The sequence below is a fragment of the Homo sapiens genome, chromosome 17 (genome assembly GCF_000001405.40).
Source record: "Homo sapiens chromosome 17, GRCh38.p14 Primary Assembly".
Lineage (NCBI taxonomy): Eukaryota > Metazoa > Chordata > Mammalia > Primates > Hominidae > Homo > Homo sapiens.
The window spans coordinates 21161458-21184196 of NC_000017.11; the positions used below are offsets into that span (position 1 = coordinate 21161458).

General features: G+C 47.5%; 1 protein-coding gene across 12 annotated transcripts in view; it reads left to right on the forward strand.

Annotated features, from left to right (window-relative positions):
- DHRS7B (dehydrogenase/reductase 7B) overlaps positions 1–22739 on the forward strand; it is a 64457-nt gene that overhangs the window by 34494 nt on the left and 7224 nt on the right. For 3 of the 12 annotated variants that reach the window (NM_015510.5, XM_024450685.2, NM_001393659.1), the window contains exons 2-4: positions 10561–10739; positions 16776–16885; positions 22137–22353. In NM_015510.5, the coding sequence (NP_056325.2) occupies positions 10561–10739; positions 16776–16885; positions 22137–22353 (506 nt within the window). Of the gene's footprint in view, positions 1–4712; positions 5015–7294; positions 10116–10560; positions 10740–16775; positions 16886–22136; positions 22354–22739 lie in introns of those variants that run through there. The other 9 variants (XM_047435722.1, XM_011523786.3, XM_047435724.1 and 6 more) reach the window with 8 other exon arrangements.

The following is a 22739-nucleotide window of genomic DNA, read 5'->3' on the forward strand; positions in this document are numbered from 1 at the left end:
TTGAAGGTAAGATAAAGACATTCCCATATAAACAAAGACTGAGATAATTGGTAGATTGTAGATTTGTCCTTCAAGAAATGCTGTATTAAAGGAAGTCCTTTAGGCTAAAAGGAAATGACTCCAGACATTATCTTGAATCCCCAGGAAGAGGGCCTTGTGAGAGAAATAAGAAGAGAAGACATGTATCTGTGAAGAAAAGTGGGAAATCTAACAGTGGGTGAAATAGATTGATTACTTACTGTATGACTGTCCGAAAGAGACACAGCCGTGTCCTCAGGAAATATTTGCTAGGACGCTTGGTAAAAGAAAGTGATAGGGCACCTGCTAGGCTATTTTTAAATGAAATCATAGATGTTGGGAGTGGCACAGCCTTCTCAGCTCATGACACTTTGCTTCCCAGTCAGTTCTTCCCACATGTGCCCTTCCTCCTCTGTGTTTGCTGGCATTAAAAGTCAGTGTACTAAACGTTTTCAGGAGAGTTGTTATATAAACTTTCAAAACCTCCCTTAGAATAAAGAGCATTTTCTAGTTAAATTTCACAAAAATGTTTTTCACACAGCTCTAAAAATAACTTGGAATTCAGGGTGAGCCATCATCCTAGATAAATTACAGTAAGGCACATTTGTCTGAGAGAAAGGGAGCCAACAGAGACATGATGATTTATCTAACTTTGTGAGGAAACCAAGACAGGAATTTGTTAGAATTCAAAGTATTATGATTTCAACCATGAGACTACATGAAATTAAGCAACATTTAATGTTTAATCCCTAGCGAATGACATACTTTTGCTCTGGGATGTGATTTGTTTGCCGTAATTCGTTTTAGTGATATTTTGCTGAGATAAAGCTGCAGGAATGTTTGCTTTTCTTATGGCAACTGGCAAATAGTTAAAATGGACTGTGAGAACATTTGTTCTTCAGGATTCTGTTTAATACTGAGTGTAGGCAAATAAAACAACACATCTGGGCTCTGTTTTTTTCTGTAATCTGATGGTATTGGATTAGATTATTTCCATGATACAATCTTATTCAACAAACATTTATGAAGTTCTCACCACATAGATGGTGTGGGAGTCAGAATAAAAGGCCAGACCCTCAGAGAACTGCTGTCTTGGGAGGCACGTGGCAGTGAAGGGAAATCATTGTGATGTTTTGTGAGATGCTATGGAGGCTACACTGAAAAGGAAGTGATTAACCCTGTCCAGATATGGAGGGCAGGGTTGCTGGGTGGCTTGAAAGGTTTCAGGGAGATGGTGCCCAAGCAGGACTTGAAGATTGGATAGGAGTTATCAAAGAGGACAGCAGGCAAGAACGAACTTCTAGAGACCCAATTTTTCTTCTGCTTTCTACTTATCAAAAAGTATTTAGCATTGAGAGTGTTTTCTATAATGAAGGCTCTTAAAATTATTATTTAATATTTCTTGAACATGCTTGGTACCATTTAAAATACAGGTTTAGGCCGGGCACAGTGGCTCACGCCTGTAATCTCAGCACTTTGGGAGGCTGAGGTGGGTGGATCATCTGAGGTGAGGACTTCGAGACCAGCCTGGCCAGCATGGAGAAACCCCGTCTCTACTAAAAACACAAAAATTAGCTGGTTGTGGTGGCGGGCACTTGTAATCCCAGCTACTCAGAAGGCTGAGGCAGGAGAATCGCTTGAACCCGGGAGGCAGAGGTTGCAGTGAACCGAGATCGCGCCACTGCACTACAGCCTGGGTGACAGAGCAAGACTGTCTCAAAAAAAAAACCAAAAAAAACCAAAAAACAAAAAACACAGGTATAATCTAAATAATCAAGTTAAATTAGAAACGGCTTTGGTACATTGTCAGGACACTAGGGGGACATTTACTTCTGGAGTTTTTTTCAGTTCTGTGTATTTTACTTCTTGAGTCTTTGTGCTGACCACTCTATTTCAGTGAATTGAGTTCCCTTTAAAAAGCATATCAGAAAGTAAAACTGCTTTTGTTGTGTTTCTATTCAGCTACAAATCTCCCAGAGTCTGCTTGCAGTGAAGTGTTAGTAATGAGGTCTCTTCTGTCCCCACTTCAATGCCGCCGTGAAGAAAATCCCATGAAATGTTATAAGGCATTTTAGTGGATGGAAAAGCAATATAAATGACCAGATTACCTAGGTGCTTAAAATTGCATCAGGTGGCCTCCTTGTAGCCCTTGCCACATGGTAATTAAATGTTTGTTACTGATTGTTCTCCTCACTGGCTTAGTCCACACACACAGTGGCATCAGGGGCTGGGTCTTGTTGATTCACTGATATCCAAGCTCCACATCCTTAGGGTGTGATCACAGCTCACTGCAGCCTCTACTTCTGGGTCTCAAGTGATCCTCCCACTTCAGCCTCCCAAGTAGCTAGGACCACAGACATGTGCCAGTATGCCCTGCTAATTTTTGTATTTTTGGTAGAGACGGGGTTTTACCATGTTGCCCAGGCCAGTCTCAAGCTCCTGAGCTCAAGTGATCCTCCTGTCTTGGCCTCCTAAAGGGCTGAAATTACAGGCATGAGCCACAGCACCTGGCTATGCTGCTCAATCTTGAGTGCAGATATTGTCAATTGTTGTGCTTTTTTTTTTTTTTTTGAGACAGGGTGTCATTCTGTCTCCTAGGCTGGAGTGCAGTGGCATCATCATAGCTCACTATAACCTCAAACTCCTGGGCTCAGGCAATCCTCCCACCTCAGCCTCCTGAGTAGCTGGGACCACAGGTGCATGCCACCACACCTGGCTACTTTTTTCACTTTTTTTATACAGACGGGGTCTCACTCTGTTGCCCAGGCTGGTCTCAAACTCCTGGGCTCAAGCAGTCCTCCCGCCTCAGCCTCCTGAGTAGCTGGGGATTACAGGCATGAGCCACTGGGCCAGCCTTGCTTAATTAAGTTTCTGAAACTGATGCCTGTAGATAGTTCCTCTTAGATACTCTAGTTGACGCTGTAGCATCTCCTTTTAAACTAGATTCCTGAACTCCTAGATTTCTGACCTCATATTTATGTTGGCATCTTGTCTGTCTTGTTGCTGTTGTTATATGTAATTTTTAAAGACAATAATCTGATTTAGGAGTCACAAACCAGCAGTGGCCTCGGCCAGGTGCGGTGTTCGGCCAGCACAGCAGTTTGAATTGTTTTGACTTTGAATGAAGTCTTCAGGCAAGGCTTGTACTTTGGACAGCCCACTACTCTGTGTTGTTTCACACTGATTGTTTCTTTCATTATCACAATTATTTAATTTTTGTGTTTCTTTGTATATTGTCAGTCTTCCATAGGGGCTGCCTCCATGAGGTCAGACAGCTTTTCTCCTTCGTTCATTGCCCTCCACCCCAGCCCTAGCCCAGTGCCTGGTACCAGAGGGCACTTGAGAAGTGTAGTTGAGTGGATGAGTGCACGACATCCAGGATCTGAGGTGATCCCTGGTGTGGGTGTGAAGGAATACGGTTGGTCTTTCTACCAAACATACTCAAACATGACGAGCCCTTAAAGCTGCCAGCTTGGCTGCTATTGCTTGGAACGTTTCTGAAATCCTCTCTGGGAATTGCCTTTTTTCAGTCAGTTTATGATTCAACAGCACAGTTGTTCAAGATTTTCATATTTACAAAGTGCTTTCCTATGCATTTTCCTATTGGAGCGATCATCCCCATTCTGAGGTGAGTGTGCTTAGTTTCAAGTAGTGAATGAATCTGCCTGTGTTGCACAGCAAGTATGCAGCATGGTGGTCTTGTCCCCCTCCCCCATGCTGGCTTGGTGTTTTCTCTTCTTCACCACCACAGTCAGTGCCTTGTCCAGTTTCTGTCAGGGGTGGGTGCGGGGGGCCTGGGGCTCTGGTGTGTTTTCTAGGAAAGAGAGTGACATTATTCCAGTGTCTTCTGGTAACACTATATTCACTTTTTTTTTCTTTTTTTTGGGACAGGGTCTCACTCTGTCACCCAGGCTGGAGTGCAATGGCACCATCTCCACCTCCTGTGTTCAAGCTGTCCTCCCACTTCAGCCTCCCAAGTAGCTGGGACTACAGGCGCGTGCCACCATGCCTGGCTAATTTTTAATTTTTGGTAAAGATGGGGTTTCGCTGTTGCCCAGGCTGGTCCCAAACTTGTGAGCTCAAGCAGTCCACCCATCCTGGCCTCCCAAAATGGTGAGATTACAGGTGTGAGTCAACTGCGCCTGATCTAAATTCACTTTAAGAAGCATATTAAGGCCGGACGTGGTGGCTCAGCATTTTGGGAGGCTGAGGTGGGCAGATCACAAGGTCAGGAGTTCGAGACCAGCCTGGCCAGTATGGTGAAACCCCGTCTCTACTAAAAATACAAAAATTAGCCAGGTGTGGTGGCGTGCGCCTGTAGTCGCAGCTACGCGGGAGGCTGAGGCAGAAGAATTACTTGAACCCAGGAGGTGGAGGTTGCAGTGAGCAAAGATCGCGGCACTGCTCTCCAGCCTGGGCAACAGAGCAAGACTCCGTCTCCAAAAAAAAAAAAAAAAAACCACATTAAAAACCAAAATTGTGTGTGTCCAAGTTCCTAGGTAGCCATAGTAAGTGCTATAATTGATAAGGAGGGCTTTAGGCCATAATGAACAGACAGACTTGGCGCGGGCTCTGCCTCCTGTTCATTGTCACCGCACTCCTGTGCCATCATATTACAGGGCCCGGGGCTGGGCTTTGGCACCTTTCTCCGCCCCCCCTCACAGGATTGCCGGGAAGCATGTGCTTGGCATCTTACTGGAGAGCAGAGCTCACTTCAATGTGGCTGCTCTTCCCAGGATTGAACACTCAGGAGCCTGGTCTGAAATCTCCAGCCTTCCTTCAGGTTTTATTTTTACTAAAGCCAGCCTGTACTCTTTTAAACCAGGGAGCTGAAGGCTGGCTTCTGAAAATACACCCCACAGGCCACTCTGCCGTGGCTTGTTCAGGCATTCCAGGGAGGGCTTGCTGACCTGAAGGTGTCCTCTGGCCCAGGTCAAAAGACCAGAGAAGACACTGGCGCCAGGAACCGCCACTGGCAAGGTAGCTGCCATCTGAGGTAGGATATTGTTCTTTTTTTTTTCCAGTCGAAGGCGGCCTTAATGTGGCTTCTCAGACATTTGAGACCAAAAAAAAAAAAAGGCAGTTTGACCCTGCCTTTACTTTCTGAAAATGACAGAAGCTTTCAGATATATTTCAAGATATGGGTCATAAGCATGACCCATAGTTTATGTCACCTTAAATAGAGCAGCTGATTAGAACTGGCCATTGGTTATAAAATAAAAGAGTACGTGTAGGTTTGTGGGAGCAGGATCCTAACTGCTTTAGCAATACTAAGCCACTCCTTGCCGTGTGATTTCAGTGTCTTTCCTTCCAGTTGGAACTCCTCTCTGCCCTTTAGCCTGATTTTCTTGTGTGTAACATGGCAAATTATTTCATGGCTAATCCTTCTTACAGACCTGAAATTGTTCTTTTTAAAAAAAACTTTGGTGGGTTTTGAGATCCCCTCCTTTGATTCTCAGATGTGGCTGTTAGTAGTTTAATTTCTGTATGTGGTTTCTGAGTAGCTTCCAACAACCTATTTTTGTTAACAGTTCTTTAAAAAAAAAAATGCTCGAGAGAAAGGAATCTTAGGAACGGATTCCGTCTGTGAAATGCAAGGGAGAATTTTGGCCAAAGTAGAAGGAATGGAATGGATGACATAAAGGGTGACATTTGTGCTCAGAGTTGATTTCTTGGTGATAGTCTCATGTCTAATTTGAGGTTCCAGAAGCCCTTTAAAGGGTGGATGAGCTGCACAAATGGATGTGAGGGAGTTACACAGTGGTGGGTTCAGCAGAAAGTAAAGGAGCAGCAGAATCACAGAGAGAAGCCCCGAACTCTGGCTGCCCGGGCCCAAGGAACCCTCACCCTTAGCGGGACTTTGCTACCTTTGCACTCTTTTAACCTGGGTCTAGAGCTCATGGATCTGGCAAGGGATGAAAATATAAGCAGACAGTATTAATATGTGAGCCCCTGAGCTCTCTCCCTTCCTCACGCCAGTTCGTGAGTCTCATCAGTGTGAGACTGTGTTTCAGGTCTCTTGCCCAAGGACTAAGAGTGTGACTATGACTGCACACATTCCATGTGTAGGTGGTGCCCTCTGCTTCCAGATGCCGTGTGCACTATGGTTTCTATTTGAGGGGCTCTCACCTTCTTTTTCTGGCTTCACTCTCTCTCCCCATGTCTCTGTCCTGCTTTCTGCCATGGCTCACAGTGGTGCTAGACAGACTCTGTCCCTTCTTTCTACAAGCTGATCTCCAAATGCTGAAAATCGTGAGCCAGATATTTTTTCCCAGTCCCTTTTTATACCATCAATCTTGCCTTCTCAGTCCATGATCTGGCTATATATCTGAAACTAGCAGTTAATAAGGATTTTGGTATAAAATGCATGATTGATAAATATATTAAAGTTTATACATATATATAAATCCTTCTTGTATGCCATTTTCAAAGAAAACAGGCCTCCCTTTGACCTTGCTTTATGTAGATTTATTTCCTAATCTGGAAATGTGGCCAGCTAGAACACTGTTCCTTTCTTCCACTGTGAAGCTGTCCTTTTAGCTGGTAGAAAGCCCTGGACACCACAGCAAGGTGGTGGGGCTTTCCATGGCTAGCTCTCATGGTCATCCTGACTTCCAAAGACAAGCTAGGAAAGTGTTGGCACAGCTGTCTCTAAGAACCCAAGAAGGCCCAGCAGTGTGGCCACATGCCCTGCATAGTGGAAGAACTATTAGGAGGGCTTTCAGAGTTTGAAAAACTCTGGAAAGAGTCGGGATTATCAATATGAACAACTTCATCTAGTCAGGAAAGTTATGCTGGAATTGAACCTGATTCTCAGATAAATGGCTCACTCTGGGGTGTCTTTTCCCACCATGGTCATTCTTTGTTAGCAGGGGAGAGTTGGCACTGGATTTTGTTTTTTGTTTGCTTTTGAGACAGGGCCTCACTTTGTCACCCAGGCTGGAGTGCAGTGGTGCAATCTTGGCTCACTGTAGCCTCAACTTCCTAGGCTCAAGCAATCCTCCCACCTCAGCCTCCCAAGAAGCTGGGACTACAGACGTGCACTACCATACCTGGTTAGTTTATGTGTTTTTTGTAGAGACGGGATTTCACCATGTTGCCCGGGCTGGTCTTGAATTCCCAGGCTGAAGCGATCCCCCTACCTCAGCCTCCCAAAGTGCTGGAATTACAGGCGCGAGGCACTGCGTTTGGCCTTGGCACTGGCTTTTAATTTGCTTTGCATTCTGATTCGATAGCACTTTACCAGACTGAATGCAGACATGCGCTCTCCCCACAGACAGCGGCCCGGGCCAAGGATGGATCCCATTCACCCGGCGCCATGTTTGCCTCAGGCAAAGTGGTCTCCAGGGCCAGGAGACCAAGGCTGGCCTGTGATGTTGTGTCAGGTGCTCAAGGAATCCCAGAAGTGTACAAGACGGTGTGTAGTTTTCGCTCTTTTCTTCATGTCATGGATTGCTGGCTTGAGTTTTAATTAGGTTGCATGAAAGTGCAATTTGTTGGGAACTTTAATCATCTTCCACTGGGGAGCCTTGCTGGGCTGGTTTATTTTCATCCTGCTCCTCCCTGGGTGTGAAGACGGGGTTGAGGGACATTTTAGTACCTGTCTGCTCTCTCCTGCTTTGCTGGCCTTGATAACCACATTTTCTAACACAAAACTTGGGACATGAGAGCCTGACTTCTGCCAATGTTGTGGAGTTTTTTCCTATTTGTTAATTTGATTAAACTGAAAGGTTTATGAAAATATAGAAGTTAAACAACATTGGACACTTAATACATTTAATGAGCTTCCTTTATTTGGAAAGAACCACACTTCACAAGCCAGGGGTCCCTTCAGACAGTCTTGGGAGTCGGATTGCTGGGAGGTGAGGTCCTGATCCAGGAACTTTGAGTTAATGGTGGTCATTATGATGCTGGTGGCAGCTGTGTTCCCTCTGTGTACAGATGAATTCATCCAACCTCATAACAAACCCAGGAGGGAGGTCCTCTCACAACTTCAGCTCAGAGGCGAGGACACTGAGGCCCAGGGCAGTGAGGCCCCTTTGCCAGGCTGCCAAGTGACTGGGCCAGGGTGTCACCCAAGCCAGGCTGGCTTGAGGGTTCATCCTCATGACCCCTGCACTGCCGCTGTTGTGCTGCAGTTAGTGTTTTTCAAGTGGTCTCTGAGTTTTGAGAAGCGACAGGCTGCATACTTGGCTCTTGACCCCCATGACCTCGGTGGCACTGTGCCTCAGCCCCAGGTTGTCAATTTGAAATTGGGTGGACTTCACAGGCACTGGCCTCCAGGGGCCCACGGAGGAGTGTTCGGAGGGGTTTCCACCCAACACGCCTAGTGGGGCTCTGGGTCCCGGCCCCAGAGGCTGAGCCCTACTATCCTTCCCTGAGCTGAGGCCCCCACCCCTTTCATACCTCAAGCTCATCCTGGGCAGTGGCTGGGCCCTGGGCCATTCTGGACAAGGCAGGGTGGTCCTACCCTGAGACCTACCTGGTACAAAGACCTGGGATTGCAGTGAGAAAAAAGCTTTTACCAAATAGCCATCCAGCCGGGTTGAACTCTTCCCAAGCCCCCACCCCTCAACCAGCTTATTACATGCAAGTTTTAAGCTATCCTTGCCTGGAGCCTTCTCTTGCCTTTTGTCAATTGCTGTAATTTTCTGGTAAAGCTATATCAACAAAATGGCAACCATTCCTGCCTCCCACTGTTTATCCCTCCTTCCCCTAGGAAACCCTCCCACATTCCCTGTTTTCAGGATCTTGGTCCCGTGCAGGACTCCAGGCAGCACCCACAGAACCCTGGAGTGGCACAGGCCTCGGTGCCTACTCTACAGCTTTCCTGAGCACTTCTCAGATTCCACACAAAGGGTCCTTGGGACCCAGCATAGCCTGCAGGCAAGAACACCTGGTCAGAACTTCCTCTTGGGGCAGGGATGGTACCAGTAGTGCCTGGTGAAAAGCTTGGTGCTTTAGATACCACCTTAATCCCCAGTTCATACAATGGAGGCTTGGCATAGTGTAGGGCAAGAGGGAGCTTTATCCATGCAGCAGATAGTAGCTGAGGTGTTTTCAGAGGTGGATTAAGTGGCAGTTGATGGGAAACTGTCATTTTTACAGTCCAAGAATGTGGCTGTTTTTTATGGTGGTTAAGAATTCAGGTGTATCTGGAAAAGCAGGTGAAAAAGTAAATGCTAATCTAGTTCAGTTGACAGTTCCGTTGCAGTAGAATCCTCTTGTAGGGGGCAATTTAGCATAGATCAGGACAGCCACCCTGAACATGAACTTCAGGATCAAAGCGACTTGGTGCATAGATGGATGTGTGTTGGGAGTCCACAGTGTTCCTGGCTTCACTCTGGCATCCAGAGTTGATGTCCTCTTACGAAAGGAAGCAGAATTTTTTTTTTATATGTGGGCTTGAGATGGGATATTAAGTAGGTGGCTGAGGGTTTTACATTATTGCTCCAAGCTTATGAATAATTTAGAGCTACAGTCTGGTTTGCCAGAACTCTCTTCTTGGATTCCAGCCTCTTCCTTCCTGAGAAGGATTCTGTGCTCGTAAACCACAGCCCTGGAGGTGGACTCGGGGGGGGCCTTTTGTCTCATAGACTCTGGCTCGCTCGTCAAGTGGCCTTCCAGGGCATTGCTTCCCAGCGACAGCACATGGTGCTCACCACGGTCCTCACCAGCTCCTCCTCAGCCTTCCTTTAACCCTGTGTCCCCCTCTTATCTCCTGCTTTGGGCACAGGAGGACAGGTGAATGCGGAGGAATGGGGGAGGTTCAGGGGAAATAAGGGCAGATGGGGAAAAACACACATTTTCTAAGAATCAACTGCACACTGTTGCACAGACACTCATACAGCCTCCAGATTTCATGGCTCACTGGGGAATGCTGGGCAGGAACATGCCACAGGCACAGCGGGGCAGCACGCTCACCGGCCGGAGCCCATGCTGGTGCTTGGGGCAGGGCCCTGCACTGAATCCCCTTTGGGTGTCTGTGAGGCCTGTGGTCAGAAGTCCATCTGTGGCCCTCACTGTAACAGTCTAGGGGCTGCTCCACCCAGAAACGTCCGTCCTCTGAGTGTCTGCTCTGAAGAGGATAAGAATTGGTACGACTTCCTTTTTCCTTTCCTCAAAAAACCCCTTTCTAGTTTCACAAGTATTCAGGGATTGAAAATGAAAACAGGCATTACTTGAGGTAAGGCCAACACAGGTTTCCGAAGGAGAGGCAGGTGAGTACTGACACACCACCTCTTCCTGTAACACTGTGGGTGACTATGTCCTAGGCTGAATGGCAATCTCCGCTTGTTCCCTGAGGGGCAGCATGAGGCCTGTGGCTTTTCTGTCCGCTCATGTCAGTACTGAGAGGAAGAAAGTTCTACAATGCTGAACAGTCGGCCGAGGGTGCAGGGCCTGGGTCAATGCTTGCTAGGGCTTAGAGCTGGAGTCCACAGAGGGAGATCTGGGATTCATATCAGATGAGAGGAAGAGCCTAGGAAAGTCCCCTGAACTCTGCTACTTTGTCACTGGTGTGTTTGGTTTTGGTTCTTCCAGGAAGAGTCTGCCGAAGGTGAAGGCCATGGACTTCATCACCTCCACAGCCATCCTGCCCCTGCTGTTCGGCTGCCTGGGCGTCTTCGGCCTCTTCCGGCTGCTGCAGTGGGTGCGCGGGAAGGCCTACCTGCGGAATGCTGTGGTGGTGATCACAGGCGCCACCTCAGGGCTGGGCAAAGGTGGGTCCTGGAGGCAGTGCTGCCAGGGGGCGGGGGTAAGTCAGCCAGGGATGAGGAGCGGCCCAGCTGCACAGGGACCACCAGCGCAAATGCCCGAAGCGGCAGCAGAAGGCCAGATAAGGGAAGTGGGCCGGATGGCACTGTCCTTGGTACAAGTGGAAAAAGCAGGAGCCAAGGCACAGTGAGAAATGACTCAGCGTCAGGGTGGGAGGCAAGTGTGAGAGAAGCAGCCTGGCCCCGGGGGTGGGGTGGGGTGGGGTGGGATGGGATACCTGCCCCTCACAGGGCAGCCCTGCTCAGCCTCAGTTGCTTGCTGAGGTAGGAATTTTATGTGAAATATCCCAATTTCCAAATATGGACAGCTAACTTAAAACGTGTTTTTACCTCTATGAGGACCAAATGAAACATGTCCTTTCCTAGATTCAGCCGGGGCCTCTGGTTCACAGCTTTGGTGCATGCTTTCTCTGGGCCTTGCCATCCCAGGCCAGGCCCCCAGCTGTCCCCTCAGCATGGTCTAGACAAGGTCAAAGACAGATAAATGGTGCCTCAGCTGTTCCAGGGTCTCCAATCTAGGTCCATTCCAACCCAGTGAACACCATGAGCTTCTAAGTCTCAGGAATGGTGTACCGGGACCCTGGCCTGGAGTGTCAAAACCTGGGTTCCCCCTTCTCCCATTTCTGGAAGCCTCTGAGTTACAGGGCTCCATTGTTTTCCTGCCACACACGTATATTGACTTGGCACGTTGCACATGCACACACCATACCATCTGCCATCCACGCTTACTCTGAGTTCCATGGAAGAAAGCTGAGGAGTTCCCTGAATTGTGGTGACCCCACCCGCTGCTACATCTTCTGGTTGGTGATAGCTCAGCTGGAGCTGATGGAGCACCTGCTAAAGTGGGAGGCTCTGGGTCAGGTTCTAGAACAAACAGATGAAAGACAGGGTCCCTTCCTTCAAGGAGGTCACGGTCGTCTGTTGTAAGGAGAAAGGCAAGGACTTATCTCAATATATTGCCATTGCAGTAACATATGCTCTCAAACCAGCCTGGTGGCAACAAGGCACATGTATATGTGCTGACTTGTGCTAAGCACTTTTACATGCATGATCTCACTGACTTCTCACAGCTAAGATTCAGAGAAGGAATGACTAGGACTTCCAGCCAGAAGGTACAAAACCTAGAGTCAAACCCACATCTCTGTCTCTAGAACTCACAGTCTCAAAGCTTCAGCAGGGGAGATGGCCAGGTAGAAGGAATAGGTGGGCTAGTAGACAGAACATTCCAGACAGGCCCAGAGGTAGGGGAGAAGCACGGTCCTGTAGGGACTTATACAGTTGGGTGTTGCATGAACACAGAGAGGCAGGTGGGTCTTTGTGGTGGAAGTGGCTTGCAGTTGGCCAGGGGTGGCCTGGGAAAGCTTTAGGGAGTATGGATTCATTTGTGCACCACTGTGGATGTTAGGTGAGGTCTCCAGGGGTGAACACCATATCTGTCATTGGATATCCAGACCTTTGCAGGGACAGCTGTCTGCAGGCCCTTTGCCATCGTCAGTCCTCTGACCTTACTCAGTTACTATATATAGGGTGGTCAGCAGCCACTTCTCTTGAGCTCAAAGAGAAGCATTTTGTGAAAGTCCTTGAAGAGCATTTGAGGGCTGGCAGAGGTGGAGCTCTGAGTCGCAAGTGCTCCCATCCATGCATGTTTGAGAAGCATGCTGTCATCTTCATTCTGCATCTCCTCTCCTGACACCAAGACTATGAAGGGAACAGAAAATGTCACGGAGGTCACCAGACCTGTCTATGTATCATAAGATGTCAGGCCCTTCCTGGATTCCAGTCACTGCTTATATTCTGCCCCATTTAACTTTTTGGGAACAAGAGTCCCTCCATCCAGATAAAGTAGGGCAGGTTCTTAACTGGCCATGTCAAGTACAGCCACTGTTGATGCCACCAAGGACGTTCTGATGTTGCCTTGCTTCTGTGAGGAGGCAGAGCTATGTTGTCCTCAGTGGCTCTGCCTGCCGTGTCAGCCACCCGGAAGGTTTGGAGTTATGCAACGAGTCTTCAGTTTTCCGTGTTTCTCCTATCTTGTCTCTTGTTTTGTGTACTTAAGCCTCTTGAGCTTGTCCTTGTAGAATAGTGTGGGACCACTGACTAAAGGAACAGAACGTTCTGGATATCTCCTTCCTCCAGCTTTAGCCACAGGGCTGTGCACAGCTCTGTTGATTTCCAGCCAGGCGTGCCAGCGGCACTGGACAGTCATCTGCAGCCCTTCATATATCGTACCTTGGAGTTGTTTTCCTTGGACCCTCCTACCTTCCAATATCAGCTTTTCAATAAATGAAAATGGAATCCTTCCAATCTGTTGTTTTCATTTCTGTCACTCCCTACACAAACTTTCATTTCCTCTCTTTTTAGCTTTGCTAGGAAGCAAAACTCAAACAGGTTTGAGGCAGTCATCTCCCCAAAGCTGTTTAGACTCCAGCGGGACTCCCACCTTTGAAGGGTTCTGTGTCTGCACCCTTTGGTGGCACCTCACAAATGTCCTATGTATTGGTCAGGACAAGACAAAATGGGGTGAGGAAGCCAGCAGGGCCCAAGGTTCCTAGCCTTTGGGAATGATTTATAAACCGGATGAGCAGTTCTAGCCTCAGGAATGCTGGCATCTGGCTTGGAGTGCAGCCATCACCCCCCTCATTCCTGTGGGGGCTCTGCTGCTCTGCTGAGAAGCGCACCAGGGAGGCAGGGTTGGGGCGCTGGGACCAGGCCTCACTACCCAGGGTGGGTGCTCTCTCCGGGCTTTTGCCCTTTGTTGGGATGAGCCAACGAACACACCAACCTCACCTCCTTCAAAGAAGATAGTGTGTCTAGATTGAGTCTACTTAGCACCTCTTTCCCGAAGACTGTCGGGTGTATGGAGAGGCGCCTGGGGGATGAGCAAATGCTGTGTGGGGAGCTGAACAAGAAGCTGTGGAGCACACGGAGGCTTCACACCATGAGACAGACGTCAGGGAGCCTTCCCTCAGACCTCTCAGGACCCCTGGTGCTGAAGGAGTTTCTTCTCCTCCCATGTTTTGAACCCATCTAGCTTTAAGGAAGTTTGACACTTCTCTAAGGGCAGGCCTGTTCAGACCAGTACACACCGCCTGCCCCTCTGACCTTTCCTTCCCAGCTGAGGAGATGGCAGCCCTGATCCTCTGACCCTGCAGTATTGGCCCATCACCACATGGCTACCAGAGATGGAATTAGCCTGCAAAGGCCATTCCCTTTCATGAACCAGGAGCTAGGGTGCCACCTAATCACCTGGGCCTCTAAGATTCGGTCTGGAACCAAGTCAGTGGCTCACTGGTGTCAGGTCAGGGTCAGCCAGGGGCCAAGGTATCCTGTGCAGATCTGCTGGTGAGCACTTAAGGGAGACTATGCCTCAGGTGAGGACAGGAGTGCCTCTTTAAACCAGCATGTGGCCAGGTGCAGTGGCTCATGCCTGTAATCCCAGCACTTTTGGAGGCCCAGGCAGGAGGATCGCTTGAGTTCAGGAGTTCTAGAGCAGCCTGGGCAACATGGCGAAACCTCATCTCTACAAAAGTTAGCCAAGCATGGTGGCATGTGCCTGTAGTCCCGGCAACTTGGAAGCCTGAGGTGGAGGCTCGCTTGAGCCTGGGAGGTTGAGGCTGCAGAGAGCCATGATGACACTACTGCATTCTAGCCTGGGTGCAGAGCGAGACCCTGTATCAAAAAAAAAAAAAAAAAAAGTAAAAAACTATGTTTCAGTTTTCATCATCAGTTTTTAGAACATTATTATTTACACATATTTTTATTTTTTGAGACAGGTCTTGCTCTGTCACCCAGGCTGGAGTACAGTGGTGTGATCATGGCTCACTTGACTTCCCAGGCTCAAGGGATCCTCCCACCTTAGCCTCCTGAGTAGCTGGGACTACAGGCATGCGCCACCACACCTGGCTAATTTTTTATTTTTTGTAGAGACAAGATTCCTATGTTTCCCAGGCTGGTCTCAAACTTCTGGGCTCAAGCGATCCTTCTGCCTCAGCTTCCCATAATGCTGAGATTACAGGCATGAGCCACTATGCCCGGCCAGAACATTTTTACAAAGTAGTTCAGAAATATGGCCAGGCACAGTGGCTCATGCCTGTAATCTCAGCATTTTGGGAAGTCATGGCAGGAAGATCGCTTGAGCCCAGGAATTTGACACCAGCCTGGGCAACATGGCAAAATCTCCATCTCTACAAAAATACAAAAATTAGCCAGCCATGGTGGCGAGTATCTGTGGTCCCACCTACTCTGCAGGCTGAGGTGGAAGGATCACTGGAACCCAGGAGTTCGAGGCTACAGTGAACTATAATTGTGCCACTGCACTCCAGCCTGAGCAACAGAGTAAGACCCTGTCTCTAAAAAAAATATTTTTAATAAATAGAAATACAAAAATGACAATTGACACCGCTGTAGTGCTGTTTATCAAACACTGTGGTAAGAGATTACCTACCTTAACTCATTCAATCTCACGGTCACACCCCGAGGGACTGAATGAGTTAAGGTAGGTAGTCTCTTACTACCGTGTTTGATAGATAAAAAGCATCCTAAATAAGAGGAAAGTCAGAAACAAAGAGGTTCTAACTTACTGGAGTTGGAAGTCTAGCTCAAGTCCACTCTCTTGGCTGCTGGGCTGTCCTGCTTTTCATAAGCTGTATGTACATTTTTGGGGCACTGAACATTTACATAGGATATGTTGCAGGGGAGGGTAAGCAAGAAGCAACGACGCCACCCTCTGCCTCCTCTCCTCCCATCACTCCGTTTCCTTTCTGACTCCTCATAGAGTAGTCCTCCACCCCCAGTTCTCATGGTTTACCCTGCTGCGTCCAGGGGGTTTCTCGTCAGGCCCTCCTGCTTAGCCACAGGAGAATTACCTGTGACCCTTGCTGGGCCCCCCACTCAAGGCTGATCACGGCCTTCCCTGGGATTTGATCAGAGCTGGGAAGAGACAAGACAAAACTGTGCATGTGAGCTCTGGGGCCTGCCCGCGTGTGAGAGCACCCAGGCACGTGAGAGCACCCGGGCAGCCAGCACTTGGGTCCCTCCTAGGTTTCGGCCATCCGGCTCTCCTCTTCATTCTTGAACTTCCCCACAATCCCTCTGGCAAATTCTCTTTTTGCTTTGCCCCAGTGTGAGTTTAGTTTCTGTTTCTTGCCACCAAAAGAATATAGAGCACGTGTCTGACTAGCTTTGGACTGTCCCTGCTGTGGTCGTAGTTGAAGTCCGCATCGATTGTTACCTGGAATAGTGTGGTGGGCTTGGTGGAGCCTGCTTTCCTCCAGTGTCCCCACTCCCTCCCGCCCAGCAGGACTGAGCCTTTTCAAAGGCAGGCACCCTTAATAGTCCTGCGTGTGGCAGGTGCTTGCGTGCACTGACTTGACCCCTCCCCAGCCAGTGAGGTTGTTAGACCCTCCACCTTCTGTCCCATCTCTATCTGCCTGTGGCCCTTCAGGCACTCTGCTCCCTCTGCCTCAAGCACTCCCTGGGAAACAGCCCATCAGATCTGGGAAGGGCCTCGGTCCCCTGCCCCAGCTTTTCTACAGGACTGTGTGAGTATTTCCAGGAGAGCTGTGCCTGGGTAGTGCCACCACACAGTCTTGGCAGGGCACAGCACCATAATAGCTGGCCCTCATTGACCTTGCCAATCAGGACAAGACCCTGCCTGAGTGACCTTGGTGAGCTCCCTCAGCTGTGAAGATAGGTGATGCTCACAGCTGATCCAGGTGAACAGGAACATCATGGGGTGTTCTGAGCATGATACTTAACACATCTGTCCACCTCGGCCCTCCTTTCTCTTTGCCCTGTGGATGTTTGTAGCACTGGGCGTGAGCCCGGCATTGGGCCCTAGCTCCCAGCTTCATGCTGGGCCACACAGCAGGGGCCAACACAGACCTGTGAAGGGTGTGAAGCAGCAAACAGCAACGCTGGGTGAATTTAAACTGAACGGCACTGAGGAAGAATGGCTGTCAAGGCTCTTTTCTCTTCCCTTAGAATGTGCAAAAGTCTTCTATGCTGCGGGTGCTAAACTGGTGCTCTGTGGCCGGAATGGTGGGGCCCTAGAAGAGCTCATCAGAGAACTCACCGCTTCTCATGCCACCAAGGTGAGCCAGGGGCGTGCTTTCCATGGGGAAGGAGTGCAGGCCGTCTTCTGTAGGCACTGAGGAGATAGTGGCCCACTCCTGGACTGCTGAGCTGTAGGACATCCATGCGTCACACTGTCCCAGGGAAGGCAGCAGGTCTCCATAGCGAACCGGGCCCACTGCATAGGGAGAGAGAACTGTCCAGTGGTTTACATCCTGATGCCCCTACTGGCTAGCACTGTGAGTTGAGAAAGTTCTCTTTTCTCCCTTTCCTTTTACCTGGCTAAGCTCTACTTACTGGGTGGGAGTGGGGGATGGTGATAACTTTAAAAGGTGTTTTTTTTTTTTTTTTTGGGACACGGAGTCTCGCTCTGTCACCCAGGCTGGAGTGCAATGGCCCAATCTCGGTTCACTGCAATCTCTGCCCCCTGGGTTCAAGCGATTCTTCCGCCTCAGCCTCCTGAGTAGCTGGGATTACAGGTGCACACCACCACACTCAGCTGATTTTTGTATTTTTTGTAGAGACGTGGTTTCACCATATTGACCAGGCTGGACTCCTGATCTCAGATGATCTGCCCGCCTCAGCCTCCCAAAGTGCTGGGATTACAGGCGTGAGCCACCAGTACAGCCCTTGTTTTATTTTCTTAGGCTCTTGCTCTGTCACCCAGGCTAGAGTGCAGTGGCACAGTCATAGCTCACTGCAGCCTTGAACTCCTGGGCTCAAGTGATCCTCCCACGTCAGCCTCTTGAGTAGCTAGGACTATAGGCATGTGCCACCACACCCAGCTAAATTTTTTTTTTTCTACTTTTATGTAGAGACACGGTCTCACTATGTTGCCCAGATTGGTCTTGGACTTGTGGCCTCAAGTGATCCTCCTACCTGAGCCTCCTTATTGTGGTTTTGATTTGTATTTCCCTAATTAAAAATGATGTTGAGCATCTTTTCATGTGCTTATTGACCATTTATTAATCTTTGGAGAAATGTCTATTCAAGGCCAGGCACTGTGGCTCATGCCTGTAATTCCAGCACTTTGGGAGGCCGAGGTGAGTGGATGATCACTTGAGGCCAGGAGTTTGAGACCAGCCTGGCCAACATGACGAAACCCATCTCTACCAAAAAGTACAAAACTTAGCTGGGTGTGGTGGTGCATGCCCGTAGTCCCAACTACTCAGAAGGCTGAGGCAGCAGAATCACTTGAACCCAGGAGGTGGAGGTTACAGTGAACCAAGATCGCACCACTGCACTCCACCCTGGGTGACAGAGCGAGACTCTGTCTCAAAAAAAAGAGAAATGTCTATTCAAGTCCTTTGCTTGTTTTTTTAATCAGGTTGTTGTTTGTTGTTGTTGAGTTTAGGAGTTCTTTATGTATTCGGGATATTAATCCCTTATAAGATATGTGATTTGCAAATATTTTCTCTCACTCAGTATCTTTTCACTTTCTTTTTTTTTTTTTTTCTTTTTGAGATGGAGTTTCACTCTTGTTGCCGAGGCTGGAGTGCAACGGTGCGATCTCAGCTCACCACAACCTCTGCCTCCTGGGTTCAAGCGATTCTCCTGCCTCAGCCTCCCAAGTAGCTGGGATGACTGGCATGCGCCACCACGCCCGGCTAATTTTGTATTTTTAGTAGAGACGGGGCTTCTCCATATTGGTCAGGCTGGTCTCTAACTCCCGACCTCAGGCGATCCACCCGCCTGGGGCCTCCCAAAGTGCTGGGGTTACAGGCATGAGCCACCATGCCCAGCCCACTTTCTTTTTTTTTTTTTTTTTTTGAGAGGGAGTCTCGCTCTGTCACCTAGGCTGGAATGCAGTGACACGATCTTGGCTCCCTGCAAGCTCCGCCTCCCAGGTTCAAGTGATTCTCCTGCCTCAGCCTCCCAAATATCTGGGACTACAGGCACGCACCACCACACCTAGCTAATTTTTGTATTTTTAGTAGAGATTGGGTTTCACCGTGTTGGCCAGAATGGTCTCAGTCTCTTGACCTCATGATCCACCTGCCTCAGCCTCCCACAATGTTGGGATTACAGGTGTTAGCCACCACGCCTGGCCAAGTTTTATAATTTTAAATCTTACATTTAGGTGATTGATCCATTTGAGTTAATTTTTATACATGGTATTAGGTAAGAGTCCAATTTCATTATTTTGCACGTGATTATCTACTTTTCCCAGCACCATTTGTTGAAGACTGTCTTTCCTCATTGAATGGGCATCCTTACAAAAATCAATTGATTACATATTTGAAGTGTCTATGTCTAGGTTCCTTGTGCCATTCAGTTGGTCTATATGTCTGTCTTATGTCAGTACCATACTGGGTTTTCTCCCCCTTAGAGGGACGGGGTGGAGCATGAGGGTAGGAAGGGGGAGGCAAGGGGGAGGAGGAGGGGAAGGACCCATACTGTTTTAATTGCTGTAGCTTTGTACAAGTTTTGAAGTGAGGAAGTGTGAGTCCTCCATCTGTCCTTTTTCAGGAGTGTTTTGGCTATTCAAGGCCCATTGTAATCCCATATTTGTGCAAAAACTGCCAGTGGGATTTTGATAGGAATAACATCGAATCTATTGGTCCCTTTGGGGAGTACTCTCACATCAACAACACGGTCTTCCAGTCCATGAATGCAGGATGTCTTTCCATGAACTTACATCTTCTTTAATTTCTGTCAGCAGTGTTTTACAGTCTTTTATCTCCTTAGATTTATTGCCAAGTGTTTGTCTTAGTCTGTTTTATGCTGCTGTAACAATAGCAGAGACTGGGTGATTTTTATTTTTATTTTATTATTATTTTTAGAGACATAGTCTTGCTCGGTCATCTAGGCTAGAGTTCAGTAGTGCAATCATGGCTCACTGCAGCCTGAAAATCTCAGGCTCAAGCAATCCTCTGCCTCAGCCTCCTGAGTAGCTGGGACTACAGGCACATGCCACTGTATTGGGTTAATTTTTTCATTTTTTGTAGGGACAGGGTCCTGCTATGTTACCCAGGCTGATCTCGAACTCCAGGCCTCAACTGAGTTGCCCACTTTACCCTCCCAAAATGCCAGGATTACAGGAGTGAGCCACTGCGCCTCGCCGGACTGAGTAATTTTTAAAGAAATCTAGTTTTCAAAGTCTGGAGGCTGAGAAATCCAAGTTAGAGGGGCTAGCATCTGGCAAGGGTCTGGTGTCTGGCAGGGGCCTTCTTGCCACATCTTAACATGTAGGAAGGCATCACATGGGCGAGAGAGAGGGAAAAGGGCTGATTTTATCCTTTGATAAGGAAGCTCCCACAATAACAGCATTAATCCATTCATGAAGTTCCCACCTTTCAACACTGTTGCATTGGGGATTAAGTTTCTAACACATAGGTTTTGGGAGACACATTCAAACCATAGCATATTTAATTTTTTTAACTGCTACTGTAAATAGAATTGCTTTCCTGATTCCCTTTTCAGATTATTCATTGTTTGTATATAGAAACACAGCTGATTTTTGGATGTTGCTCTTGTACCTTGCCACTTTGCTTAATTTGTTAATTAACTCTTATTAGCTTTTTGTGGATTTATTGGAATTTCCTATATATAGAATCATCTGCAAACAGAGGTAGTTTTACTTTTTCCTTTCCAAATTGGGTCACTTTTTTCTTGTCTAATTGTTCTGGTTAGCACTTCCAGTACAATGTTGAGTAGCCGTTGTGAAAGCAGGCGTCCTTGTCTTGTTCCTGATCTTAGAGGAAGGCTTTCCATCTTTTTCCACTGAGTATGTTATCTGTGGGTTTTTCATAAACACCCTTTGCTGTGTTGAGGAATTTCTGGTCTAGTCCTAGTTTATTGAGTATGTTTACCATGAAAGGGTGTTAGATTTTGTGAGATCTCTTTTCTGCATCAATTGAGATGATCAAGTGGGGTTTTTCCCTCGTTCTATTAATGTGATATATTATAATGTTCAATTTTCTTTTTTTTCTTTCTTTTTTTGAGAAGGAGTTTTTGCTCTTGTTGCCCAGGCTGGAGTGCAATGGTGCGATCTCGGCTCACCACAACCTCCGCCTCCCAGGTTCAAGGGATTCTGCTGCCTCAGCCTCCCGAGTAGCTGGGATTACAGGCATACGCCTCCATGCCCAGCTAGTTTTGTATTTTTAGTAGAGACGGGGGTTTCTCCATGTTAGTCAGGCTAGTCTTGAACTCCCGACCTCAGGTGATCCACCCACCTCGGCCTCCCAAAGTGCTAGGATTATAGGCATGAGCCACTGCCCCCGGCCAATTTTCTTTTTTTTAATTTAAAGAGACAGGGTCTCGCCATGTTGCCCAGGCTGGCCTCGAACTCCTGGGCTCAAGCAAGCCTCCCTCCTCAGCCTCCCAAAGTGCTGGGGATTACAGCCATGAGCCACTGTACCTGGCCATGATTGATTTTCCTATGTTGAACCAACTTTGCTTGCATTCCTAGGATAAATCCCACTTGGTCATGGTGAATAATCCTTTTAATACGCTGTTAAATTCAATTCGCTGGTATTTTGTTGAAGATTTTTGCATCTATATTCATAAGAGATATTGCTCTATAATTTTCTTGTGATATCTTTAATCTGGCTTTAGTATCAAAGTAATGTTGGCCTCAGACTGAATTAGGAAATGTTTTCTCCTCTTCAGTTTTCTAGAAGAGTACAGGAAGGACTGGTGTTAATTCTCCTTTAAATGTTTGGCAGAATTCACCAGTGAAGCCATCCGGTCCAGGACTTTTCTTTGTTGGAAGGTTTTTGATTACTGATCCAATCTCTATCTGTTAGAAGTCTCCTGAGATTTTTTATTTCTTCTTGAGTCAGTTTAGGTAATTTGTGTTTTTCAAGGAATGTATCCATTTATTCTAGTTTTTCTAACTTGTTGGCAAATAATTGTTCATAGTATTCTTTTATAATCATTTTTATAATCTTTATAATTTTTTTTATCATCTCATCATTTCTGTAAAGTCAGTGGTCCCACTTTCATTTCTGATTTTAGTTATTTGTGTCTTCTGTTTTTTCCTTGTCATTCTAGTTAATGCTTTCTCAATTTTGTTGATCTTTTCAAAGAACCAACTTTTGGCTTCATTGATTTTTATTGTTTTTCTGTATTCTGTTTGTTTATCTCTGTTCTAATCTTTATTATAATGTTTCCTTCCTCTGCTGGTTTTGGGTTTAGTTTGCTATTCTTTTTCTAGTTCCTTAAAATATAAAGTTACATTATTGTTTTGAGGCTAAGTGATCCGTGGGACACATAGCTCAGATGGCCTGCCACTCAGAAAGTGAATTTGTATCTGTTGTATTTGACCAGGTGCAGACACACAAGCCTTACTTGGTGACCTTCGACCTCACAGACTCTGGGGCCATAGTTGCAGCAGCAGCTGAGATCCTGCAGTGCTTTGGCTATGTCGACATACTTGTCAACAATGCTGGGATCAGCTACCGTGGTACCATCATGGACACCACAGTGGATGTGGACAAGAGGGTCATGGAGACAAACTACTTTGGCCCAGTTGCTCTAACGAAAGGTAACAGTCTTGAGAAAAGAGCAGTGATAAGTGATATGTTGGCATTCTTTTTACTTCACTTGGATCCTTTTCAGCTAAACGTTCCCCATCTCCATCCTCTCTGTTGCCCTGGAGTGGGTGTTAGGTGTTATTGTTACAGTTTGGGTATTTGCTTTATAGCTTCCAATCAAGATGTTCTCTTTAGTGACAGCCACATTTGTGCAGCATTACCTACATGTCTTTTTCATGGTGCCTGCAAACCCCTACAAGGTGGGGATATTTTTATGTCCCACCATGGATTTCAGTCCAGGGGAGAGGCTCCAGCAGGAAAAGGGAACTGAGCTAACCATTTGCAGTGACCTCTGTCCCTGTTTCCTTGCCTCTCTCCTCTCTCCTGCTGGCCTGCT